The sequence below is a fragment of the Homo sapiens genome, chromosome 2 (assembly GCF_000001405.40).
Source record: "Homo sapiens chromosome 2, GRCh38.p14 Primary Assembly".
Classification (NCBI taxonomy): Eukaryota; Metazoa; Chordata; class Mammalia; order Primates; family Hominidae; genus Homo; species Homo sapiens.
Window position 1 is genome coordinate 195,977,733 of NC_000002.12, and position 11,349 is coordinate 195,989,081.

General features: G+C 35.0%; 1 protein-coding gene across 11 annotated transcripts in view; it reads right to left on the reverse strand.

The window, feature by feature from the left end:
• DNAH7 (dynein axonemal heavy chain 7) overlaps positions 1 to 11,349 on the reverse strand; it is a 331,135-nt gene that overhangs the window by 240,030 nt on the left and 79,756 nt on the right. For 10 of the 11 annotated variants that reach the window (XR_922968.4, XM_011511488.4, XM_011511490.4 and 7 more), the window contains 3 exons: positions 10,225 to 10,497; positions 9,334 to 9,461; positions 6,900 to 6,978 (listed from right to left, as the gene is read on the reverse strand). Coding sequence is in view for 10 of the 11 variants with exons in the window: in XM_011511488.4 (XP_011509790.1) it covers positions 6,900 to 6,978; positions 9,334 to 9,461; positions 10,225 to 10,497 (480 nt within the window). In the remaining variant the exon portion in view is untranslated. The remainder of the gene's footprint in view (positions 1 to 6,899; positions 6,979 to 9,333; positions 9,462 to 10,224; positions 10,498 to 11,349) is intronic. The other variant, XM_017004504.3, reaches the window with a different exon arrangement.

Below are 11,349 nucleotides of genomic sequence, written 5' to 3' on the forward strand. Positions count from 1 at the left end.
GATCCTAAAAACAGCAAGAGAAAATAAACAACCCCCAATGGAGCTCCAACATGTCTGACTGCAGACTTTTCAGTGAGAACCTTACCACCCAGCAAAGAGTGGCATGACATATTTAAAGTGCTGAAGGAAAAAGAACTTGTATCCTAGAATAGCAAATCTGGTGAAAATATCCTTCAAACATAAAGGGGAAAGAAGAACTTTCCCAGACAAACAAAAGCTGAGGGATTTCATCAACACCAGACCTGTCCTACAGGGAATATTAAAGGGAGTTCTTCAATCTGAAAGCAAAGGACAATAATGAACAATAATAAATAATCTGAAGGTACAAAACTCATCAATTATGGTAAATAAACAGAAAAACACAGACTATTATAACACTGTAATTGTGGTGTGTAAACTATATATATATGTTAAGTAGAAAGGCAGAAAGATGAACTGGTAAAAAATAACTACAACTTTTCCAGACAGATAGTACAGTAAGATATAAGCAGAAACAACAAAATGTTAAAAAGCAGGGGGATACAGTCAAAACATAAGATTTTTAAATTAATTTTCTTTTTTCTTGCTTATTTGTTTATGCAATCAGTGTTGTCAACAATTTAAAATAATAAATTATAAGATATTATTTGCAAAATTTATGGTAACCTCAAATCAATAAACATACAACAGACATACAGAAAACGAAAAGCAGGAAGCTAAAACATACCACCAGAGAAAATCACCTTCACTAAAAGGAAGACAGAAAGGAGAAAAAGAAGGAAGAGAAGACTGCAAAACAACCAGAAAACAAATGACAAAATGGCAGGAGTATAGCCTTACTTATCAATCAAAATTATCAATAACAACAATAACATCAAAAGTAAATGGACTAAACTCTCCAATCAAAAAACATAGCCTTGCTGAATGGATAACAAAACAAGACCCAGTGATCTTTCACCTACAAGAAACACACTTCACCTACAAAGACACACATAGCCTGACAATAAAGAGATGGAAAAAGATATTCCATGCCAATGAAAACCAAAAGAGACCCGGAGTAGCTACACGTATATCAGAAAAAGTAGATTTCAAGATAAAAGCTATTAAGAGACAAAGAAGGTCATTGTGTAATGATATAGGGGCTGATTCAGCCAGAGGATATAATAATTGAAGATATATAGGCACCCAACACTGGAGCACCAGGTATATTAAGCAAATATTATTAGAGCTAAAGAGAGAGATAGACCTCAATACAATAATAACTGGAGACTTAAATATCCCATTTCAACATTCATACAAAACATGTCATACAAAAAAGGATTGTATGTCATATGTCATACAAAAAAAGATCATTCATACAAAAAAATAAACAAAGAATCATCAGATTTAATCTGCACTATAGACCAAATAGACCTAATAGATATTTACAGAACATTTCATCCAATGGCTGCAAAATACACATCCTTCTCTGCAGCACATGGATCATTCTCAAGAATAGACCATATATTAGATGCCAAAACAAATCTTAAAACTTTCAAAAAATTGAAATAATATCAAGTATAGTCTCTGACCACAATGGAATAAAACAAGAAATCAGTAACAAGAGGAATTTTGGAAACTACACAAACACATGGAAATTAAACAATATGCTCCTGAATGATCAGTGAGTCAATGAAGAAATTAAGAAGGAAATTGAAAAAATTTCTTGGAGGAAGTGATAATGGAAACATAACATACCAAAACCTATGGGACACAGCAAAAGCAGCACAAAGAGGGAATTTTATAGCTACAAGTGGCTAAATTAAAAAGTACAAAAACTTCAAATAAGCAATGCTCTGATTTAAATAATTCTAAAAGCAAGTGCAAATCAAACCCAAAATTAGTCTAAGAAAATAAATAATAAACATCAGAGCAGAAATAAATGAAATTGAAATAAAGGAAAGAATACCAAAAGATGAACTGAAAAGTTGGTTTTATGAAAAGCTAAACAACATTGACATACCTTTAGCCAGACTAAGAAAAAAAGAGAGAAGACTCAAATAAATAAAATCAGAGATGAAAAAGAAGACATGACAATCAAAACCACAGAAATTCAGAGGATCATTAGAGGCTACTAAAGACAACTATATCCCAATAAATTGGAAAACCTAGAAGAAATGGACAAATTCCTAGACACATACAAACTATCAAGACTGAACCACAAAGAAATACAAAACCTTAACAGACCAACGGGTAACAAGATCAAGTAACAAGATCAAATCCATAATAAAAAGTGTCCCAACAAGGAAAAGCCCACGACCTGATGGCTTCACTGCTGAATTCTACCAAACCTTCCTACTCAAACTAATACAAAAAAAAAAAAAAAAAAAAAAAAACTAGAGGAGGGGCGATATGGTTTGGCTGTGTCCCCACCCAAATCTCATCTTGAATTGTAGCTCCCATAATCGCCATGTGTCATGGGAGGGACCCGGTGGGAGGTAATTGAATTACAGAGGCAGTTATCCTCAGGCTGTTCTGGTGATACTGAGTCAGTTCTCAGGAGATCTGATGGTTTTATAAGGTGCTTTTCCACCGGGCTTCATTCATTCTTTGCCTTCCTGCTGCCATGTGAAGAAGGACATGTTTGCTTTCCCTTCTGCCATGACTGTAAGTTTTCTGAGGCTTCCCCAGCCTTGCAGAACTGTGAGTCAATTAAACCTCTTTCCTTTATAAGTCATCCAGTCTCAGGTATTTCTTCATATCAGCATGAGAACAAACTAATGCAAGGAGGAAATACTTTCATCAAGCTCATTCTATGAGGCCAGTATTACTCTGTCACCAAAACTAGACAAAGATGCATCAAAAAATAGAAAACTTTAAGATAATATCTCTGATGAATATTGATGCAAAAGTCCTCAATAAAATACTAGCAAACTGAATTCAACCACACATTAAAAAGGTCATTCACCATGACTAGGTGGGATTTATCCCAGGGATGCAAGGATGATCCAACATATGCAAATTAATGTGATACACTGTATCAACAGAATGAAGGACAAAATTCATATGACCATTTTGATTGATGCTAAAAAAGCATTTTATAAAATTCAACATTGCTTCATGATAAAAAAAAAAACCCTCAAAAATTGTGCACAGGAGGACACAATAAAAACCACAGGACAGACTCACAGCTAGTATCATACTGAATGGGGAAAAACTGAAAGCCTTTCCTCTAAAATCTGGAACACAACAAGGATGCCAATTTTCACCACTGTGATTCAACATAGTACTAGAAGTCCTAGCTAGAGCAATCAGATAAGACAAAGAAATAAAAGTCATCCAAATCAGAAAGAAAAGTTAAATTATCCTCGTTTGCAGATAATATATTATATTTGAAAAATCCTAGAGACTCCACCAAAAAACTATTAGAACTGATAAATTCGGTAAAGTTGCAGGATACAAAGTTACATACAGAAACCAGTAGCATTTACATTTACGTATGCCAAAGGTGGGACAATCTGAAAAAGAAATCAAGAAAGTAATCTCATTTACAATAGCCATAAATAAAATTAAATACCTAGGATTAACCAAAGAAGTGAAAGATCTCTATAGTGAAAATTATAACACAATGATGAAAGAAATTGAAGACACCAAAAAAAGGAAAGATATTCCATGTTCATAAATTAGAAGAATCCAATATTGTTAAAATGTCCATACTACCCCAAAAAGCAATGTCAATGTCAATGACATTCCTCAGAAATAGAAAAAAAAAACTTAAAATTTATACGAAACCGCAAAAACCCCAGAATAGCCAAAGCTATCCGGAGCAAAAAGAACAAAACTGGAGGAATCACATTACCTGATTAGAAATTATACTATAGAGCTACAGTAACCAAAATAGCATGGTGCTTGCAGAAAAACTGACACACAGACTATTGGAACAGAATGGAGAACACAGAAACCAATTCATAAATCTACAGTGAACTCATTTTCGAGAAAAATGCCAAGAACATACCTTGGGATAAGGACAGTCTCTTCAATAAATGGTACTGGGCAAACTGGATATTCATATGCAGAAGAATGATACTAGACCTCTGTCTCTCAACATATACAAAAATCAAATCAAAATGGATTAAAGACTTAAATCTAAGACCTCAAACTATGAAACTGCCACAAGGAAACATTGGAGAAACTTTCCAGGAACTTGGACTGGTCAAATATTTCTTGAGTAACACACCACGAGTACAGGCAAACAAAGCAAAATTGGACAAATGGGATCACATCCAGTTAAAAAGCTGCTACATGGCAAAGGAAACGATCAACAACATGAAGAGACAACCCAGAGCACGGGAGAAAATATTTGCAAACTACCCATCTGACGAAGGATTAATAACCAGAACTATACTATTGCAGCACTATACAAGGAGCTCAAACAACTCTATAGAAAAATCTCTAATAATCTGATGAAAAAGTGGGCAAATTATCTGAATAGATATTTTTCAAAAGACATACAAATGGCAAACAGGCATATGGAAAGGTGCTCAACATCACCAATCATCAGAGAAATGCAAATCAAAACTACAATGACATATCATTTCACTCCAGTTAAAATGGCTTTTATCCAAAAGACAGGCAATAACAAAGGCTGCTGAGAATGCAGAGAAAAGGGAACCCTCTTACACTGGTGGTGGGAATGTAAATTAGTACAACCACTATGGAGAACAGTTTGGAGGTTTCTTGAAAAACTTAAAACTGAAGTTACCATATGATCCAGCAATCCCACTGCTGGTATATACCCCAATGAAGGGAAATCAGTATATTGAAGAGATATCTGCACTCCTATGTTTGTTGCAGCACTATTCACAATACCCAAGATTGGGAAGCAATGTAAGTGTCCATCAACAGATGAATAGAAAAAGAAAATGTGGTACACAATGCAGTACTATTCAGTTATAAAAAAGAATGAGATTCTGTCATTAGCAATAACATGGATGGAACTGAAGGTCATTATGTGAAATCAGCCAGGCACAGAAAGACAAACTTTGCATGTTCACACTTATTTGTGATAGCTAAAAATTAGAACAATTGAACTCATGGAAGTGGAGAATAGAAGGATGGTTACCAGAGGTTGTAAGGGTAGTGGGTGGATGTGGGGGATGTGGTGATGGTTAGTGGGTGCAAAAATATATTAATATTTTGAAAGAATGAAAAAGATCTAGTATTTGATAGCATAACAAGATGACTATATCAATAATTTAATTGTACATTTTGAAATAGCTAAAAGTATGTAATTGGATTGTCTGAAACACAAAGGATAAATGCTTGAGGTGCCAGATACCCCATTTACCCTGATGTGATTATTACACATTGTAAGCCTACATCAAAATATCTCATATTCCCCATAAATATATGCACCTGCTATGTACCCATGAAAATTAAAAACAAAATTTAAAAGGATTTTTTGAATAATAATGGAAAAATACCACAAAAACTTAATGTTATAAGAATGAAAAGTAAACAAAATGAAATGGCAATTAGCTAGTTGTTTAACATTATTTTATTTGCCATTAGGTAGACTTCTGTATTAATCCATTTTGTGTTGCTATGAAGGAGTACCTGAGGCTGGGTAAATTTGTAAAGAAAATAGGTTTTTTGGCTGACAGTTCTGCTAGCTGTACAAGAAGCATGGTGCCAGCATCTGCTTCTGGTCAGGGCCTCAGGAAGCTTTTACTCATGGCAGAAGGCAAAGGGTAATGTGACACATGGCAAGAGGGGGAGCAGAAGAGAAAGGAGGGGGTGCCAGGCTCTTTTTAATAATCAGATCTCAAGAAAACTAAACTAGCAAGAAGTCACTCATTACCATCAGGAAGGCACCAAGCCATTCATGAGGGATCCACCAAAAACCTCCTACTAGGCCCCACCTCCAACACTGGGGATCATGTTTCAACATAAGATTTGGAGGGGACAAGCATTCAAACTATATCAACTTCAAACATAGAAGTAACATGAGAAATGATGAAAGTGAGACTTATCTAATATTTTCAGTGTCATAAATTCTATGCCTAAATATAGCTCAACAAACTATCACAGAAAAGCTTAATATAAACAAAATACAGCTTTTATAAAAAATAAAATGTCACTTAAGGCTTAAATATTTGTTGATAAAACAAATGAAGAGTGATTACACAGCTCAGGCTTCCCGGGACAGTCCTGGTTTGTTCCTGTTAGCATGGCAATAATTGTTGCGTGTTCTCAAAAATAACCTGATAGATAATTGCATTAATTGTTCCAATACTTCACCTCTCCAGTATCCATGCCCTGTAGGGTCCTCTCAATCAGACTTGTTTTGGTCAATGAGATGTTAGCTAATGTGACACAAGCAGAGTCTTGAAAAGCACTTGTACAATTGAATTTGCTTGTATGTCTGTACCATGACATGAGAACACACCCAGATGAGCCTGCTGGGGCTTGAGGGACAAGTGGAGCCAAGTCAACCTGCTGAAGGTTAGTTAGACTAGTCAACCCAACTAAGTGAGTGACCCAACAGGGTGACCCCATGGAGACCAGAAGAACCAACCAGGAGCATCTAGCCTAAATTACCAAACTGCAAACTCATGAGCTATGTATTTTGAAAGTCATTATTATTTTTTATTTATTTTATTTATTTATTTTTTTTGAGACAGAGTATTGCTGTGTTGCCAGGCTGGAGTGCAGTGGCGCAATCTCGACTCATTGCAACCTCTGCCTCCCGGGTTCAACCGATTCTCCTGCCTCAGCCTCCCGAGTAGCTGGGACTACAGGCGCATGCCACCACACCCAGCTAATTGAAAGTCATTATTATTTTTAATCTGTCTTAACTTTTCGAGTGATTTGTTACTCCGCATTATTGTGTCAATAATTAATTGATACACACACAATTATGGAGAAGCTATAAACAATACCTTCATTTCCATTAGTTCTGCTGTATTTGGAGGAGTGCTAAGAGCTTTTTCAGCTATCCTCTCAAATTCATCGCATAATCTGAAACACCAAGTAAAACCAATCTTACATATTTACAGTTCAATTTAATTCCAAAATATATTCCTGTATACTGTTTAAATATTCCATTGCATGAAAAATAAAAACTATAACTTAGCTATATGACATCTAATAATTAAAAGCAAATTTGCATACATTTACTTATTCAGTGCACATTTGATGATCTAGTACATTTTTAACTATAATACTGTGACAGTGACACATAAATGAATCAGATAGCATAATGGCCCTCAAGCAACTCACAATACAGTAAGGGAGATAGGACTGTGAACAATCATTTCCAACCTGAGCTTTAAGGGCTCTAAGAGAGATTTAGTTGAGATGGCACAAAGAAAGTAGTACAAAGGAAAGGAATGATTAACTATACTTGGAGGGATTGTTTAAAATAGGCCTGTGTGCTCAGGAACTTCCAGTAATATGCAAATATTTCCTACTGATTTGGGTTGCTGCCAATACAAACCATGAACTTATTTTGGCATACAGAAAAAAAAAGTAGCAAGAGCTAAGGGAGTTCAAATGAAACGAATAGAACAATTCTTCAGTAAGATTGGCTGAAAGGTGAAGGAGAGTGGAACAGCATGGGGATAATGGGTTAAAGTCTGGGGCTGGGAGATGAAAGAGGGCCTCCAACATGTTTGTAACCTTCAGAGGGAAAATCAACCGGGAAGGAGAGGTTCAAAATAAGGAATATAGAAGGGATAACTGAAGGAGCCAGGTTCAGAGGCATTGAAAGCAATGGGGCTGAGCTCCTAGGCAGAGAGAAAAACTGAATGGTGTGACAGACTTCTGCCCTCTGAGTAGGTGGGAGACAGGCTTTCTGGAGAGGTGAGTCAAACCATGCAGGGGCAAGAAGTGGAAGGCATTCATATCTAATGACTCCTTTAATAGTCCTGATATGTCCTCTGTCCATCCTAGGGAGTCTGGTGAGAGGCAAGAGGCATAATTAGGAGAAAATGGGAAAAAGTAGAACTGGCACAAGCTCAGAGAACATTAAGAGGCAGGGGAAGTAGCTACGAAATTAAAATAAGTATTTCACCCAGCATGAACAGCAATAAGAAGACACTTTCACTATTCTTCTAGTTCTTTTACAGGAAAAGGTGCTTTAAGCTGAAAATATGATCTGGTTCCTAGATAAGGTACTCAAGTCCTAGTCCTCTTTCACACAGTACCTTCATCCCCAGCCTTTCCTTTCACTTCTCTTCCCTCACGCTGTCTGTGAAAGCAATGCAAAACACTCCTAGTTCTTGGAATACACCCTGCCATTTTCACACCTCACTGCCCTCTACATATTATCTTCTCTTCCTGGAATTATTTTACCCACACTGTACACCTGACGGACTCCCACTCTTCCTTCAAAATAAAATTCACATGTCAGTTCCTCTTTGCAGCCTTCCCTGATTCTCCCCTCTCCCCCAAACTCCATCTTGGGAGGAAATTAATTCTGTCCTCTCTGTTCTACCTTGTGGCTCATTACAGTACTTATTGCATGGTATTGTAATTTACTGGTTTGTGTGTCTATTTCTCCTTCTACATTGTAACTTCCTTCAGCAGTTTTATTCATGTTTAGAGCCTTAGAGCCGAAGTGGCTAGTCTTGTGCCTAACACATGGTAGGTAAATAAAACTTCCTTCAGGCTTCTATACAGCTTGAAAGAAATATTTTTAATGATCTGTTTTTTTCTCTGATACCATAATCATAAAATATATCCTGATTATTTAGAGTTTTTCACCCATGTAACTGATGCTAGTCGAGAGATTCCCAGAGCAACATTACCACCAGTTGTTGGAAGACTAGTTCTTCTTGTCTTAAAGAAACAGGTATTCTGCTTTATACACTAGTATTCTGTGAGTTTACTTAACATGGGTCAGTTTTCCCGAAAATCCCTAGGTTAGTCACAAATGAATTTCCAGATAAAAGAAAAAGTTACCATGGCCCTCAAGAGTAATTTTAGGAAGATGAAGTTTCAAATGTGATGGTCCCTTAGGACCCATAACAACTACTATGTAAATCCACTTTGAAACCCACTTTGCATATTGATTACACAAATATAAAAATCTGAATTTAGATAATGTCCACTTGACTTGTGTAAAAGAAATACACATTTTAATACCACCTTAACTCAGACAATTGGGGAGGCACATTTGTGGTGAAAAAAATAATAAATACTAATAATCACATCACAAAGTGACACTTAAAGCCAAGCAGAAATAAGTTTAGCATAATCATTTCTTTGGAATCATTTATGGCATTGCTTTAATCAATTACTCTAGTTGAGTGACAGCTGATTCTATTAAACATCCCCTCCCAAAAAATAAAAAAACCAGTATCACATAAATACCTTGTATTTACTTCCTGATGATCTCTGAACATTTTAGCTAGAAGTTTCCCACAAATAATATCTGCTCGCTTCACCAAAGCTCTGATTAATTCCTCACAGTGCATTTCAAACATTCCTAAACGAATAGTCTGCAAAAGATTAAAAGTTTAATCAACATAAGAAGAAATAAAACAAATAAATTTTCACAATTTTGCCATTCTCATAATTTTTATTTTTGTGTGTGATGTAACAAGATTGAGATTTTTAAAAATATATATAATTCAGGGAGGGTTTTCCAAATAATCATTTGTATTATACAACTATCTTCTGGGTAAATATCCTTGAAAAGTTTATTATCTTGGAAGCCAATTCAATCTCAGGACAATATTAGCAATAACAATTTTGGTGAATTGAATTACTGTATTGCTAAATAAATAATGTAGGTTTCAAACGTTATAGTTGCTCTGTACAAAAAAAATACATGTTCATGGTAGAAAATTTAGAAAATGTAAAGGGGGACAGAAAAGAAAATTTTAAGTTACTAGTATTCTACTAAACAGAACCATATTTTGGTGTAATTACCATATTTTCCATATAAATCCACAGGATTTATAAACACTAAGGCAAAAATCAAATAGGTTCTTGGAATTATAGGGATGGGGCAAATTATATAAAATACGTGTCAGAGTTGCGGTAGTAGAGTCTCAGCTACATGAGCACAAGAATTGTGTTTTGCCTAGATTCTTATACTCAGGGCTTACCACAATGCTAGGGACACATCAGAAGCTCAATAAATATTTTTCCTGTTGATGATAATGTTCTAATTATCTGTGTTCTAAAAATACATCCTAATAAAACTGGGGAAAAGATACCAGATAGAGATAACAGTTGCACAAAACTGGAGTCATTTACCTTTATGGATGTGTACTGTATTTCCTCTATTAGTTTCTGGTATTTGCAAATTTCATCTATTATTTTTTCATAACTATGATTTTCTGCGAGGAAGTTATCAACATCTCGCTCAGCTTTTCTGGTAATTAAAAAGTCATACTTGTCATAGAGTCTGAGGTGCTCAGTAGGTGCCACACTCTCTTTCATAATAACTTCCTTGATCTTTTCTTTGTGAGCATCTACAATTTCATTCAGAATTATGGGCTTCAAGGTTGTTGGTTTAGACTTACTTTCCTAAACAAGGGGGTAAAAATAATAGTATTTAAAATATCTTAAAGTAACTATATCATTTATCTTTGTACAAACGCCAATCTTACAATGTTTCTTGTCTTTTTATTCACAAGGTTGTTTTAACTGTTTAACCTCTAATCTATAGAAAGATATTAGACTAATTGCAGCAGTGTTTTAAAATTTAGGTTCATATAATTTTTTGTTTTCTTTAAGGCTACCTAGTTGTGTTTCGTTTTTCTGTATGGATGAAAGAACAGTCAATTGAAAATATATACAAAATAATATTTAGAATAAAAAACAGCAAGATATACATTTTTAAATTTTATTTTTAATTCACATAATTATACATATTTATGGAATACAATGTGATGCTTTGACACATGTATACATTGTGTATTGATCAAATCAACATAATTAGTAAATCCATCACCTCAAACATTTCTCATTTCTTTGTAGTAAAAATACTCAAAATCCTCCCTTCTAGCTATTTTGAGATATATAATGCATTATTGTTAACTATAGTCACCCTAATGTGCAATAGAACACCAGAACTTACTCCTCCCATCTAACTAACTTTGTACTCAATTACCAACCTGTCCCCATCTCCCCCATTCCTTGCTACCCTTCCTAGCCTCTGGTAACCACTACTCTACTCTTTATTTCTATGAGATCAACTTTTTCAGATTCAACATATAAGTGAGATCATTCAGTATTTGTCTTTCTGTGTGGCTTATTTCACTTAACATAATGCCCTCCAGGGTTATCCATATAATTGCAAATGACAGGACTTCCTTCTTTCTATAGCTGAATTGTATTCCACTGTGTATATATATATCATGTTTTCTTTATCCATTC